We start from the raw sequence: 17125 nt of genomic DNA, 5'->3' as shown, positions 1-17125 counted from the left end.
CTATTCCGGCCGTGAAAGCAGGTTCTGCTTACCAAAGTCCTCTGAGTTCTGAGCGGTTTTGGATTCTGGTTTGTTCTTTGATAAAGACATAAATGACAGGACAATTGTTTCCTTGGGCTGGAGTAATGAGCTCACATTCTCAACATTAAACTTAAAAGAAATAAATATTTAAAAATCTAGCATTCGTGTTACAAAATAAAGGCATAAGATATGAGAAACTTGGCTACAGTATCATCTGTGAAGAAAATAATTGTTTTGTTTCACTCTGTACTCAAAGTGTCAATAGTGCTAATGAGGTTATTAAAAAGCTCTCGAGTTCCCACCACACGTAGAGTCACCAGGCAAGCAGGAAGGGTCCACTGCGTTCTGGGAACCTGTTTCCTGAGGGTTAAAAGCATAATTTTCAGAAATGTAAAATCACAAAAATAAAATAAATGTGTCAAATATTTTATTTAACTCATTAATTAAAAACCATTTAAAATGAGATTTTGATTTGCAGAGATTTATATTCTCTGCCAGACAAAATTCATTTGCATTGTCATGCACGGGTATCATTTGCATAGCTATGGGCAGGAAACATTTGCATCGTTATCCATTTTCTATAACTTAAACCCTATTCCAACAGAGTTGTAAAATAGCCTAGTCAATCACAGGCAATTGAAAGTGCACGTCCTGTGGAATTAGAGAATCCCAGAGGGTCTGCTAACAATGTCCTGCCCTCCACTGAAAGGACACCAGGAATCACTTTGGTCTGTTTCTAAGACTTGGACCATTTTTTTACGTGAGATATATTATGAAGAGAAGAATGTTTATCCAGAGTGTAACCAGGAGAGCAGAAGCTCTTGAAATTATGTATTAATATTATGTGGACACACGATAGGACCAGGAATATTTTCAGCCGGGCAAAGATGAGATGCACTGTGGACAGTGATCCAAGTTATAAAATACTAAAGAACTGTCATGAAGCAAAGCGCTGTCCTTATTTTGTGTAGTTCCAGAGGTCAGAACCAGAGTAAACGGGGTTGGGGGTAGGGGTAGGAGGGGGTAAGAAGCTACAGCAAAGCAGATCTTAATATATGAAAAACTTATTAAGAAATGGGAGTTTTGGGCCAGGTGTGGTGGCTCATGCCTGTAGTCCTAGCACTTTGGGAGGCTCAGATGGGTGGATCACTTGAGGTCAGGAGTTCAAGACCAGCTTGGCCAACACAGTGAAACCCTGTCTCTACTGAAAAAAAAAAAAGAATTAGCCGGGCGTGGTGGCATGTACCTGTAATCCCAGCTACTTGGGAGGCTGAGGCAGGAGGATCACTTGAACCTGGGAGGTGGAGGTTACAATGAGCCTAGATCATGCTAAAACACTTCAGCCTGGGTGACAGAGGGAGACTCTGTCTCAAAAAAAAAAAAAAAAAGAAAAAGAAAAGAAAAAGAAATAGAAGTTTTGATTTGTGGGTTCTCTGTCATTGAAAATGTTCAAGCAGAAGTTATATAATCTTTTATAGGAATGTGAAAGGAAAATATCTTGGGCCCATGAGGGAAGGCAGGTAACTCCTTTATGGAGTTTAAGCTCACTTCCAACAGAGAAGATGAGTGTGTGTGTGTGTGTGTGTGTGTGTGTGTGTTGTTGTTGTTGTTGTTTTTCCTGCTTCTAGGATGGTAGAGAGCAGTCTTCTGCCTGAAACCCATTCCTAGATAAGTAACTGAATTAGGGTTTAGCTTGGCTAAAGTTAAGATTAACAACCAACTGGTCTACATGTCAGAGGCATTTGAACCAGAGCAACTCCATCTTGAGTAGAGGCTGGGTAAAATGAGGCTGAGACCAATTGGGCTGGATTTCCAGATGGTTGGGCATTCTAAGTCACAAGATGAGATAGGAGGTCAGCACAAGACAGATCATAAAGGCCTTGCTGATAAAATAGTTTGCAGTAAAGAAGCTTGTCAAATCCCACCAAAACCAAGATGGTAACAAAAGTGACCTCTGATCGTCCTCACTGCTACACTCACATCAGTGCCATGACAGTTTGTAAATGCCATGGCAATGTAAGGAAGTTACCCTATATGATCTAAAAAGGAGAGGCATGAATAATCCACCCCTTGTTTAGCACATAATGAAGAAATAACCATAAAAATGGGCAACCAGCAGCCCTCAGGGCTGCTCTGTCTGTGGAGTAGGCATTCTTCTACTCCTTTCTTTTTTTTTTTTCCTTTTTTTTTTTGAGATGGAGTCTCACTCTGTCACCTGGGCTAGAATGCAGCGGTGTGATCTCAGGTCCATGCAATTTCTGCCTCCCTGGTTCAAGCGATTCTCCTGCCTCAACCTCCCGAGCAGCTGAGACTACAGGCACGTGCCACTACACCTGGCTAATTTTTGTATTTTTAGTAGAGACGGGGTTTCACCATATTGGCCAGGCTGGTCTCAAACTCTTGACCTCAGGTGATCTGCCCACCTTGGCCTCCAGAGTGCTGGGATTACAGGTGTCAGCCACTGCGCCCAGCCTACTCCTTTATTTTCTTAATAAACTTGCTTTTATGTTACTCTATGGACTAACCCTGAATTCTTTCCTGCACGAGATCCAAGAACCCTGTCTTGGAGCCTGGATCTGGCCCCCTTTCCTGTAACATGAATTTCTCCTTACCATTAGAGGGTTCAGTGATCATGTTGTTGGGGCTTTGTTGTTTGTTCCCATTTAAAGTTGTTGTTTAAGGATCCTAATTCTAGTTTGGAGATGCATTTGAAAGGTCTTCTCTATTGCTTTTTGTCCCAAATTTTTAATCTTAATTGAGTTTGTCTGTGTGCATTTGCATGAGGAACTAAACTGTTGTTTTGATATGTTAATGAGAGACTGAGTTTTCTTAGCCCTGAAGAGAAGGGGCATTTTGCTCCTTCCAGCTGAAAGGCTTCCCTGGGTGACCGGGGGCCCCATGGGAGTGTCTGGGAGGTTGACCACCCCATGACGTGCAGCAGCCCTGCAAGGGAATCCCCAACAAAAATTAATTTTATAAATGGCTCATCTAGGTAACACATGTAAGGGCTAATCATCTGGTGTTTTGAGCCCTCTCTGAGGTCACAGACCTCTGGAGGGAGAAACTGAGACATATAAAAGGGTTGAAACTACTCAGTGGTGACACACTGTGGAGTCCTGCCCACAAGCAGCACATGTTGATCCACCACACAAAAACCATGGACCATAGCTCAGTTCCTCCCTTAAAAAAAAAAAAAAAGAAAGAAAAAAAATGGGAAACAATCTAAGAATGATGAGAAAACAAGGAGAATGACCCCCTTTTGAGCAGTCTGTAGGTTTTATGGCACCTCTACTTGCCAAAATAATATGGTCTTTGTGCACATTTACATTAAGGAAAAAAGAGCCCTTGGCTGGGCGTGGTGGCTCACCCCTGTAATCCTAGCACTTTGGGAGGCTGAGGTGGGTGGATCTCCTGAGGTCAGGAGTTCAAGACCAGCCTGGCCAACATGGCGAAATCCCATCTCTACTAAAAATACAAAAATTATCCGGGCATGGTGGTGCATGCCTGTAATCCCAGCTACTCAGGAGGTGAGGAAGGAGAATCACTTGAACCCAGAGATGGAGGTTGCAGTGAGCCGAGATCACGCTGTTGCACTCCAGCCTGCGTGACAGGAGTGAGACTCCATCTCAAAAAACAAAACAAAACAAAACAAAAGCCCTAAGTGTCAGGCCTCTGAGCCCAAGCTAAGCCATCATATCCCTTGTGACCTGCACGAATGCATCCAGATGGCCTGAAGAAAGTGAAGAATCACAAAAGAAGTAAAAATGGCTGGTTCCTGCCTTAACTGATGACATTCCACCATTGTGATTTGTTCCTGCCCCACCTTAACTGAGCAATTAACCTTGTGAAATTCCTTCTCCTGGCTCAGAAGCTCCCCCACTGAGCACCTGGTGACCCCCCACTCTGCCCACCAAAGAACAACCCCCTTAGACTGTAATTTTCCACTACCCACCCAAATCCTATAAAACGGCCCCACACCTATCTCATCTCCCTTCACTGACTCTCTTTTCGGACTCAGCCTGCCTGCACCCAGGTGATTAAAAAGCTTTATTACTCACACAAAGCCTGTTTGGTGGTCTCTTCACACGGACGCTCTTGACATTTGGTGCCATGACTTGGATCGGGAGACCTCCCTTGGGAGATCAATCCCCTGTCCTCCTGCTCTTTGCTCCATGAGAAAGATGCACCTGTGACCTCAGGTCCTCAGACCAACCAGCCCAAGGAACATCTCACCAATTTTAAATCAGGTAAGTGGCCTCTTTTTATTCTCTTATCCAGCCTCTCTCACTATCCCTCAACCTCTTTCTCCTTTCAATCTTGGCACCATCCTTCAATCTCTCCCTTCTTTTAATTTCAGCTCCTTTCCTTTTCTGGTAGAGACAGAGAAGATGTGTTTTATCCATGAACCCAAAACTCTGGCGCCAGTCACGGACTCAGGAAGACAGTCTTCCCTTGGTGTTTAATCACTGCGGGGAGGCCTGCTTGATTATTTACCTACGTTTCAGAGGTGTCTAATCACTGCAGGGACACCTGCCTTGATCCTTCACCCTTAGTAGCAAGCACCACTTTCCTGGGGGGCAAGCACCCCCCACCCCTTCTCCCATGTCTCTACCCTCTCATCTCTGGGCTTGTCTCCTTCACTATAGGCAACCTTCCACCCTCCATTCCTCCTTCTTCTCCCTTAGCCTGTGTTTTCAAGAACTTAAAAGCTCTTCAACTCACACTTGACCTAAAACCTAAACACCTATTTTCTTCTTGACCGCTTGACCCCAATACAAACCCGACAATGGTTCCAAATAGCTAGAAAATGGCACTTTCAATTTCTCCATCCTACAAGATCTAGATACTTCTTGTCATAAAATGGGCAAAAGGTCTGAGGTGCCTGACGTCCAGGCATTCTTTTACACATTGGTCCCTCCCTAGTCTCTGTTCCCAATGTAACTAATCCCAAATCTTCCTTCTTTCCCTCCTGCCTGTCCCCTCAGTCCCAACCCCATGTGTCACTGAGTCTTTTCAATCTTCCTTTTCTACCGACTCATCTGACCTCTCCCCTCCTCCCCAGGCTGCTCCTCCTCAGGTCGCTTACCGTCAGGCTGAATCAGGCTCCAATTCTTCCTCGGCCTCCGCTTTCCCACCCTATAATCCCTCTATCACCTCCCCTCCTCACACCCAGTCCAGCTTACAGTTTCATTCCATGACTAGCCCTCCCCCACCTGCCCAACAATTTCCTCTTAAAGAGGTGGCTGGAGCTAAAGGCATAGTCAAGGTTAATGCTCCTTTTTCTTTATCCGACCTCTCCCAAATCAGTTAGCATTTAGGCTCTTTTTCATGAAATATAAAAACCCAGCCCAGTTCATGGCTCATTTGGCCGCAACCCTGTGAGGCTTTACACCCCTAGACCCTGGAGGGTCAGAAGGCTGTCTTATTCTCAATATGCATTTTATTACCCAATCCACTCCTGACATTAAATAAAGCTCCAAAAATTAGATTCCGGTCCTCAAACCCCACAGCAGGATTTAATTAACCTCGCCTTCAAGGTGTACAATAACAGAGTAGAGGCAGCCAAGTAGCAACATATTTCTGAGTTGCAATTCCTTGCCTCCACTGTGAGAGAAACCCTAGCCACATCTCTGGCACAAAAGAACTTCAAAATTCCTAAGCCACAGTGGTCAAGCATTCCTACAGGACCTCCTCCATCAGGATCTTGCTTCAAGTGCCAGAAGTCTGGCCACTGGGCCAAGGAATGCCCACAGCCCAGGATTCCTTCTAAGCCATGTCCCATCTATGCGGGACCCCACTGGAAATCAGAATGTCCAACTCGCCCAGCAGCCACTCCCAGAGCCCCTGGAACTCAGGCCCAAGGCTCTCTGACTGACTCCTTCCCAGATCGTCTCAGCTTAGCGGCTGAAGACTGACGCGGGCTGATCTCCTCAGAAGCCTCTTGGACCATCACAGACACTTTCAGTAACTCTTGCAGTGGAGGGTAAGTCTGTCCCCTTCTTAATCAATATGAAGGCTACACACTCCACATTACCTTCTCTTCAAGGCCTGTTTCCTTTGCCTCCATAACTGTTGTGGGTATTGATGGCCAGGCTTCTAAACCTCTTAAAACTCCCCAACTCTGATGCCAACTTGGACAACATTCTTTTATGCACTCCTTTTTAGTTATCCTCACCTGCCCAGCTCCCTTATTAGGTCAAGACATTTTAACTAAATTATCTGCTTCCCTGACTATTTCTAGGCTACAGCCACACCTCATTGCCTCCCTTTTCCCCAGTTCAAAGCCTCCTTCATATCCTCCCCTTGTATCTCCCCACCTTAATCCACAAGTATGGGACACCTCTACTCCCTCCTTAGTGACCGATCATGCACCCCTTACCATCCCATTAAAACCTAATCATCCTTACCCTGCTCAACACCAATATCCCATCCTACAGCAGGCTTTAAAAAGATTAAAGCCTGTTATCACTCACCTGTTACAGCATGGCCTTTTAAAGCCTATAAACTCTCCTTACAATCCCCCCATTTTACCTGTCCAAAAATCAGACAAGTCTTACAAGTTAGTTCAGGATCTGCACCTTATTGACCAAATTGTTTTCCCTATCCATCCCATGGTGCCAAACCCATATACCCTTCTATCCTCAATATCTCCCTCCACAACCCCTCCACAACCCATTATTCTGTTCTGGATCTCAAACATGCTTTCTTTACTATTCCTTTGCACCCTTCATCCCAGCCTCTCTTCACTTTCACTTGGACTGACCCTGACACCCATCAGGCTCAGCAAATTACCTGGGCTGTACTGCCGCAAGGCTTCACAGACAGCCCCCATTACTTCGGTGAAGCCCAAATTTCTTCCTCATCCATTACCTATCTTGGCATAGTCCTTCATGAAAACACACGTGCTCTCCCTGCTGATCATGTCTGGCTAATCTCCCAAACCCCAACACCTTCTACAAAATAACTCATTTCCTTCCTAGGCATGGTTGGATACTTTCACCTTTGGATACCTGCTTTTGCCATCCTAACAAAACCATTATATAAACTCACAAAAGGAAACTTAGCTAACCCCATAGTTCCTAAATCCTTTCCCCACTCCTCTTTCCGTTCCTTGAAGACAGCTTTAGAGACTGCTCCCACACTAGCTCTCCCTGACTCATCCCAACCCTTTTCATTACACACAGCCGAAGTGCAGGGCTGTGCAGTCAAAATTCTCACGGAAGGACTGGGACTGCACCCTGTAGCCTTTTTGTCTAAACAACTTGATCTTACCATTTTAGGCTGGCCATGATGTTCCTGTGCAGGGGCTACCGCCACCCTAATACTTTTAGAGGCCCTCAAAATCACAAACTATGCTCAACTCACTCTCTACAGTTCTCATAACTTCCAAAATCTATTTACTTCCTCACACCTGATGCATATACTTTCTGCTCCCCAGCTCCTTCAGTTATACTCACTCTTTGTTGAGTCTCCCACAATTACCATTGTTCCTGACCCAGACTTCAATTCGGCCTCCCACATTATTCCGGATGCCCCACCTGACCTCCATGACTGTATCTCTCTGATCCACCTGACATTCACTCCATTTCCCCATATTTCCTTCTTTCCTGCCCCTCACCCTGATCACACTTGGTTTATTGATGGCAGTTCCACTAGGCCTAATCATCACTCACAAGCAAAGGCAGGCTATGCTGTAGTATCTTCCACATCTATCATTGAGGCTACCACTCTCCCCTGCTCCACTCCTCTCAGCAAGCTGAACTCATTGCCTTAACTCAAGCCCTCACTCTTTCAAAGGGACTACGCATCAATATTTATACTGACTCTAAATATGCCTTCCATATCCTGGACCACCATTCTGTTATATGGGCAGAAAGAGGTTTCCTTACTACATAAGGGTCCTCCATCATTAATGCCTCTTTAATAAAAACTCTTCTCAAGGCCACTTTACTTCCAAAGGAAGCTGAAGTCATTCACTGCAAGGGCCATCAAAAGGCATCAGATCCCATTGCTCAGAGCAATGCTTGTGCTGATAAGGTAGCTAAAAAAGCAGCTAGCGTTCCAACTTCTGTCTTTCATGGCCAATTTTTCTCCTTCTCATCAGTCATTCCCACCTACTCCCCCACTGAAACTTCCACCTATCAATCTCTTCCCACACAAGGCAAATAGTTGTTGAACCAAGGAAAATATCTCCTTCCAGCCTCAGAGGCCCATGCTATTCCGTCGTCATTTCATAACCTCTTCCACGTAAGTTACAAGCCACTAGCCCGCCTCTTAAAACCTCTCTTTTCCTTTCCATAGTAAAAATCTATCCTCAAAAAATCACTTCTCAGTGTTCCATCTGCTATTCTACTACTCCTCAGGAATTTTGCAGGCCCCCTCCCTTCCCTACACATCAAGTTCGGGGATTTGCCCTTGCCTAGGACTGGCAAATTGACTTTACTCACATACCCCGAGTCAGGAAACTAAAATACCTCTTGGTCTGGGTATACATTTTCACTAGATGGGTAGAGGCCTTTCCCACAGGGTCTGAGAAGGCTACTGCAGTCATTTCTTCTCTTCTGTCAGACATAATTCCTTGGTTTGGCTTCCCACCTCTATACAGTCCAATAACGGACTGGCCTTTACTAGTCAAATCACCCAAGCAGTTTCTCAGGCTCTTGGTATTCAGTGGAAACTTCATACCCCTTACTGTCCTCAATCTTCAGGAAAGGTAAAATGGACTAATAGTCTTTTAAAGACACACCTCGCCAAGCTCAACCTTCAACTTAAAAAGGACTGGACAGTAGTTTTGCCTCTTGCACTTCTCAGAATTGAAGCCTGTCCTTGGGATGCTACAGGGTACAGCCCATTTGAGCTCCTGTATGGATACTCCTTTTTATTAGGCCCCAGTCTCATTCCAGACACCAGCCCAACTTGAACTGCACCCCAAAAGCTCATGATCCCTACTATCTTCTTTCTAGTCATACTCCTATTCACTGTTCTCAACTACTCATAAATGCCCTGCTCTTGTTTATACTGCCGGTTTACACTGTTTCTCCAAGCCATCACAGCTGATATCTCCTGGTGCTATCCCCAAACCAACACTCTTAACTCCCTCTTAAAGTGAATAAATAATCTTTGCTGGCAGGGCACCCTCCAATACTTTCACCCTGATAAAGTCCTATTCTTTACTTTTATACTCACTCTTATTCTTGGTTCCGTTCTTATGCCACCCTCTACCTCTCCCCAGCTATCTCCACCACACTATCAATCTCACTCTCTCCTACCGTTTCTAATCCTTCTTTAACAAACAATTTCTGGGTTTACATTTCTCTTTCCTCCAAAATCATGGAGGCCTTGACTTACTCACTGCTAAAAAAAGGGGACTCTGCATATTTTAAATAAGAAGGGTTGTTTTTACCTAAATCAATATGGCCTGGTATATGACAACACAAAAAACTCAAGGATAGAGCCTAAAAACTTGCCAACCAAGCAAGTAATTATGCTGAACCCCCTTGGGCACTCTCTAATTGGATGTCCTGGGTCCTCCCCATTCTTAGTCCTTTAATAGCTGTTTTTCTCCTTCTGTTATTCGGACCTTGTGTCTTCCATTTCTTAATTCATCCAAAACCATATCCAGGCCATCACCAATCATTCTGTATGACAAATGCTCCTTCTAACAACCCCATAATATCACCCATTACCACAAAATCTTCCTTCAACTTAATCTGTCCTACTCTAGGTTCCCATGCCGCCCCTAATCCTGCTCAAAGCAGCTCTGAGAAACATCGCCCATTATCTCTCCATACCACCTCCCCAAAATTTTCACTGCCCCAACACTTCAACACTATTTTATGTTATTTGTCATATTAATATAAGAAGACAGGTATGTCAGGCCTCTGAGCCCAAGCTAAGCCATCATATCCCTTGTAAACTGCATGAATGCATCCAGATGGCCTGAAGCAAGTGAAGAATCACAAAAGAAGTAAAAATGGCTGGTTCCTGCCTTAACTGATGACATTCCACCATTGTGATTTGTTCCTGCCCCACCTTAACTGAGCAATTAACCTTGTGAAATTCCTTCTCCTGGCTCAGAAGCTCCCCCACTGAGCACCTGGTGACCCCTGTGCCTGCCCGCAAGAGAAAAACCCCCTTAGACTGTAATTTTCCACTAACCACCCAAATCCTATAAAACGGCCCCATCCCTATCTCCCTTCACTGACTCTTTTTTCGGACTCAGCCCACCTGCACCCAGGTGATTAAAAAGCTTTATTGCTCACACAAAGCCTGTTTGGTGGTCTCTTCACACGACTTGCAAACTATAGAGTTTTAAGTCCTCATTTTCTCAACTTTTTCTTTTCTGCCTGCTCTAAATCTGCTGTGATTTTTCTTCTCTTTTTATTTTGTGTGCACCACCACACACAGCTAATTTTTGTATTTTTAGTAAAGACAGGTTTTCACCATGTTGGCCAGGCTGGTCTCGAACTCCTGACCTCGTGATCCGCCCACCTCCCAAAATGCTGGGATTACAGGCATGAGCCACTGTGCCTGGCCCTATTTTTCTATGAAGATAAAAACCATTGTTTAGATCCAACAAGTTCTTTTTGCAAGCTGGTAATTTGTAATTATCTTATGGCTAAAAGTTCTGAAGTAAAAGCTATAGGATCTGTGTGTGTGTGTGTGTATTTTTAAAAGGCCTTTATAATTTCTATAATTTTGTGTTTAATTGGCAATTAGATCCATTTTAATTTCCCTCTAACATAGGAAACTTTTCTCTCTGCACCTTGTAGTGTAAATTTTGGTATTTGACTTTCACCTGAGTTGCTTCTTTTAACATGCAAATTTAAGGCTATTTAGTTGACAACTGCCCAGGTTTGTAAAAACAGGTTATCAAGAATCTGAAATTCTAAGAATGGAAGTAAAGGGTTTTTATGAATCTGTAAAATGTACTTCTATCAGCATGCCTATCTATTTATGTGTTGTGTACACAATGTTTCACTACTAAAAATATGTAAAAGAGCTCTAATTAATTGCTTAAAAATAAAAGTGCTTAAATCAGATACTAAAAAGGAAAAGACTAGTCAAATGCTTTTTCAAGTTTATGTAATTTAAGTAAAATCTTTAACAAATAAGCTAGCTTTAAAATTATTGACAAAGTAATATTAGAAATGTCTTAAGAATTGCCAGTATACTTTTTTGTTGGCAGTCATTAATCAAGTAATTTCATACTTATCCCTGCCAAACACTATAAGTGTCAAATTTTGGCACAGGGTTTACGAAACTATAAACCCAGCCCAAAACAGAATAATTTTTCCTTTTGAAATTTTTAATAAATAAGATATTGATATTGGTTTAATGGAAATAGCCACATCTTAAATTTAGTAAGATTACCAAAATTTCTAATCTTGTAGCTTTGGGCAGTCTAGTCCACAGGAAAGAAGGAGGTTTGCTTTGGGAAAGGACTGTTATAGTCTTTGTTTCAAAGTTAAGCTGTAAACTAAGTTTCCCTGAAAGTTAGTTTGGCCTATGCCCAGGATTGAACAAGAACAGCTTGGAGGTTAAGAACAAGATGGAGTCATTTGGGTCAAACCTTTTTTCACTCTTTCAGTTATTATGCAATGGCAGTTTTATAACTTTAAATCATGACTCTCACAGTTTTCCTAAATAATTTGGTAAACAATTAAAATAAAATAATTAGGTAAATGTAATGGGCTAAATACTTGTAGACAAACTGATCATAATTTAGAATGTAAAGTTATATTAAATTAATAAATAGATATTTCATTATTTGGGTGATATGGTTTGGCTGTGTCCCCACCCAAGTCTCATCTTGAATTGTAAGTCCTACAATTCCCATGTGTCATGGGAGGAACCTGGTGGGATGTAATTGCATCATGGGGACTGTTCTTTCCTGTGCTGTTCTCGTGATAGTGAATAAGTCTCATGAGATCTGATGGCTTTAAAAATGGGAGTTTCCCTGCACAAGCTCTCTCTCTTTGGCTGCTACTATCCATGTAAGACATGACTTGTTCCCCCTGGCCTTCCACCAGGATTGTGAGGCATCCCCAGTCATGTGGAACCTCTTTCTTTTGTAAATTGCCCAGTCTTGGGTATGTCTTTATCAGCAGCATGAAAACAGACTCATACATTGGTTATTTTCCAATAAATATATAGTAGGAAAACATTCTTGCTAAAAATAAAAAAATAAAAAAAAACTGTGCCCTTATTAAAAAAAGGTGAACAACTTTTGTCTAATTCAAAGCTTATTTAAAGGTTATATATAAAACAAGGTAAAAGGAACCAGAAAATAAAAGAGGTATTTTTTCACTGTTGTTGCGGTAAGAAAGCTGAAAGAGAAAAAATTTTATATGAGAATCTTGTATGGTAAATTTAGTCCTAAAATAAAACTACTGGTTGTTTAAGAAAGAGGTATGTTCAGGACAAACCAGAAAGTCTGAGCATGTCATGAACAGTCAGTGTAAGTCAGAGTAAGAGGATTTATATTGAAAAAAAAAAACCCAAAACTTTAATATGATCAAGTTATCATATTGTTTTGGTTTGCTTAGGAAGACAGAAACAGAAAAAAAAATTTTAAGGTTATTCCACCCATGTATCTTCCTGTATGTGCTTTTAAAGTCCTTGTGACATTGAGTTACAGGGCTTTGACTCCTGGATCTAAAAAGGACATCAAGTCCTGCTACATCACTGAGAGCAATTAAAGCCTCACCTTCGGGCCCTGTAGAAGATGTCAAACAAAATAAACTGCATTCCTGAGACACAGGGGAAGAAATTAAAACTATTCAACTCCTCAAGGCCCGGGGACTATCATGGAAGAGGTGGGCACATATGATTGTAAGGGCCAATTTTGGAAGATAACATAAGTTCAGTTTCTCTATAAATTAATCATTAATATCAAAGACACACTGATGCAAGACCAGCATATGGGCCCCTGTGAGTATCAAGGTTTTCTTGAAGCATTAACCAATTCCTTAACAAAGGTTATAAAGGTTTTAAAAGGCTTATGTAAGCTATATCTTATGGTCAAGATTAAAGTTTTATAGATTTTTAATAAAATTTTGGAAAACAAATTTGATTGTCTTCATGCTGTTTTTAATATTGTTTGGAAAATTAACTTTCCTCTCTCAAAAAATAAAAGTTTTCACCTTTTTTTTTTTGAAATCTTTGAGTTATCACTTTGGTTAAATGAATGACTTATTTTACAATGACCTGTGATCCTATTTTGTGATATCAAATATTTGAAACCTTTGATATTTGACAAGCTTTCCTAAATCAAATTATAAATTATGTTTTTTTTTCTGACCGAATCAATCCTTTAAGATATTAGGTTCCCTAAAGTCCAAAAAAAAAAAAAAAACATAATTTGGCTTATTTGGTACAAAAATTATACAGGAAGCATTGTCAAATATGAAATGGTGTTGTGTTTTCTTTGGGCATATGGTATAACTATGTTATTGATATGTGTTCCAAAATTATGGGAAACTCCTATAATTCTGATATAACTTAGTGTATATTATCAGTAATAATAGTAATTGTTATGTTAAAATTATTGCATGCCAACAAATTTTTTTGTCAATTGTGTCTTTGACTACAGTTGCCCTAAAACTTTTCATCACCCATGGACCATTGTTGTCTAGTTTTGGTCCTTTTTAGAAGGTGGTTTTATAATCAGCTATACAACAGGTGCTCTTGAATGCAGGTCTCTGATAACTTTGGAGACTGTAACTTCGGAATAGAGATGAAACTTTCAGGATTAATGGAGACCTAAAAAGTTCACGAATATCAAGCAGAACAGGAATTAACTACATGGACTAAACTAATCTTTTTGACTTTTTGCTTAAAATGTTTGCTGATCCTTTGTCTTATTTTTCAGAGTCTCACAACTTTTCTTTTGAGCTATTGACAGCTTTTAACAATTTAATATACTCCCATGAACAAAATTTGGAGCATATTTGTTGCTCTCTACCTGATTTCTCCAGAATCTGGAAACTATTTGTGAGTATTCCCAAATTATGGCAATACAGTTATTTGCATAAGTGCAATAAGAACCTGTTTTCTTTTGTAACAAGACACAACTGGAGAAACTGGTTATTTTACCAAGGCTTTGGCTGGAATGATGTGCTTTCCTTTAAGGAATCAGACTTATGGAGCCAATAAAGCCCTTGGAAAAACTGGCCCCATATTTTGTGTACACAGTCCCTGTACAGGGTTTCTGACCTGTGGTTAGTAAAGAAAGTCATTTATTGACAGATCTAGAAGCCCCAGGTTTATCTTGGAATCTCAAGAGAAGAGGAAATTCACCCAACTCATAGATATTTGATGGCACAAACCCATGGCTGGCTTCAGCTTTAAAAAGTCTTATGTGAGATTCCTTTTATGGAACAAAGTTCCATCAAAGCCAATTTAAAACCTATGTAAAAAAAAACACCAAATTATTCTGGCTGCACTGTATACAAATTATTAGGCCAAGTATAATAACGCAAAACTGTCCTGCCATGATCTGTCTTTAGTAAAAATGGGAAACCAGAGAGAGAAAAATTGTGTTTCAAAACTATAGTACACCTATTGTTAGATTCTAGTCTTGCCTAATGTTTTTTCCATTTTTATTATTTTCTACATTTTGAACCAAATTCTAATTTTTCTTGGCTACGAGTCTTCAAAATAATGTTTTCAATTTTTTTCCTTTTTTCCCATTTTTCCTAATTTGAAGTCAAACATTAAGCCCTGGGAACTGAAGTCAGACAACCTGAACTTTAAAAGAAAATAACAGCAACTTATTTACATAGATAAGTCACTTTCATACCTGCCTACTAATGTATGGACCTCAGAGTAATGTGGCCTATCTCAATGTTTCTAGGATTGCCCTTTTGTTTGTTATTGTTTTTCTCTCTTCCTCCCCCTATTTTCTCTTCATAGGACCTGAGACTTAACAACCTGCTAAAAATGAGCTTTGGGGGCCTACACGTCTAGGAAAAAACCCTCCTAGTCATGAGAGATCAGATGAAACCTGAAAAGAGACTCATTTTCTTGTAAAATGCTTTCTCCAAGATTTTAAAAAAGAAAAGGGGAGAAACGTGAAAGTAAAATATCTTGGGCCCTTTCAAGCTGGGAACTGCTCAGGGCAAATCTGCCTCCCATTCTATTCAAAGTCATCCCTCTGCTCACTAGGATAGATGCAAACTCTGATTGCTTCCTTTGGAAAGACTTATCAGAAACTCAGAAGAATGCAACCATTTGTCTCTCACCTACCTGTGACCTGGAAGCCTCTGGGGGCGGGGGGCGAGGGGGTGGGGGACTTGTTTTGAGTTATCTCTGCCTTTCTGGATGGAATTAATGTCCTTCTTACATATATTGATTGATAGCTCATGTCTCTGTAAAGTGTATAAAACCAAGCAGTGCCCTGACCACCTTGGGCACATGTTGTGAGGACTTCCTGAGGCTGTGTCACAGGTGCGTCCTCAACCTTGGCAAAATAAACTCTCTAAATTAACTGAGACCTGTCTCAGATTTTCTGGGTTCACAGGAATTTTGTGGAGGCAATTTTTACACTTTTAAGAGGTTTGCAATAGACCAGTGTTTTCCTATAGAAATATAATGCAAGTCATATGTAACTGTAAATTTTCTTGTAGCCAGATCAAAAAAAAAGTAAAAAGAAATGGACTAAATTGATTTTAGTAATATACCCTGTATAATGCAGTATATCCAAATCATTATTATTTCAATATGTAATCAATATAAAAACATTAATGAAATAGTTTACCTTCTTTTTTTCTGTACTAATTTTCTAAAATCCAGTGTGTTTCTTACATTTGCCAGCATGTTTCAATTTGGACTAGCCATGTTTCAAATATCCCGTAAAGACATGTGGCTCCTGGTGACTGTCCTACTGGACAGCACAGATCTAGGTCCGTGGTCCTCAAATTTAGCCTCCCCAGAGCTTCTGATTCCCTGGGTCTGGAATGGAGCCCAGGAATTTGCATTTCTAACCACTTCTCAGGTGATGCCTGTGCTGCTGGTCCAAGGACCACAATTAGAAAACCCCTGGTTTAGAGAAACAAAATGCTTCTCTTTACAATGGATATATGCTTTTGATGTTTCTTATTCATTATTGTGAAACAGTGGCCTTTGTGCAGTGAAGCTGAGACTTTCTGGATTGACTCCAAATGATCCTGACTTTCTGAGTCTTCATGCACTATTTCCTCTACATCATTATCTCATTATTGGGCTCCTAATGTTTATTTGCATTTCTCTTTTTTAGGGGAAGAAAGGGTGTGATATGTTTCCTCACCCATCATGAGGGTCACTGCCGATACTCCTGTGACAAAAGACAGACAGGTGAATGAGAGAAAAGTGTAACAAATTTATCAAAGTTTTATATGACATGGGAGCTTTCAGAATGAAGACCCAAAGACCTGGGGAAAACTTCTGTTTTTATGATTGGGTTCGATGAAGAATGGGCAATGGTGTAGAAATGTGATTGGACAAAAGGGTGTGACCTAATGGGAACAGACTGATGGGGAAACCCAGCAAAGCCTGTCTGTTCCAAGCCTTCCTGGCCTCTCTATGTAGCATTTCTTTCTCCTGGGTATGGGGCAGGACCTCTCTGGAATGAGCATCTTCCAGGGAGAATACAGAGAGTGTGCCCTTTCTAGGTTTTATGGCTTCTTTTGGGGGATAGGGGTTCTAGTTTCTACACACCTCCTTGGGGAAGAGAAATTCTGGTTTCTATGACTCCTTTGTGGGGGAGACAGAGGGACAGGAGACAAAAGGACAGGAGAAGGTCGGAGAGAGGCATTCCTTTTGAGGCTGCTTCTGAGGCTCCTCAATCCCTTTTAGTTCAATGTACTCAGCAGGCCAAAGTGTCATATTTTGGGGTACTGTTTTCTGAGTCCCAATGCTTTCAACAAAGGTACTTCTACAAATTTTACTGAGTGTATATAAATATTAATGTAAGAATAAATCAAAGGTGGTGTTTCAGATTCTTGTATTATTATAAAGGACATTTAGTGATGGGACACAACTTCCCAGTGTGTTAGATCCCAGAGGCATACATATCCTTACGTGTTCCTTTTGCAGTGTATCCACTGGCTACTGAACCCATGAC

General features: G+C 41.2%; 1 long non-coding RNA gene across 1 annotated transcript in view; it reads left to right on the top strand.

Moving 5' to 3' along the window:
* The window catches only part of LOC105375864 (uncharacterized), a 79123-nt gene that overhangs the window by 48395 nt on the left and 13603 nt on the right, over positions 1-17125 (top strand). Inside the window, exon 6 of the long non-coding RNA XR_001745925.1 lies at positions 16280-16356. This is a non-coding gene — a long non-coding RNA (uncharacterized LOC105375864). The remainder of the gene's footprint in view (positions 1-16279; positions 16357-17125) is intronic.

The sequence above is a fragment of the Homo sapiens genome, chromosome 8 (assembly GCF_000001405.40).
Source record: "Homo sapiens chromosome 8, GRCh38.p14 Primary Assembly".
NCBI classification, from domain to species: Eukaryota; Metazoa; Chordata; class Mammalia; order Primates; family Hominidae; genus Homo; species Homo sapiens.
Note: the sequence above shows the minus strand (reverse complement) of the source record. Positions and strands in the feature narration are given on the sequence as shown.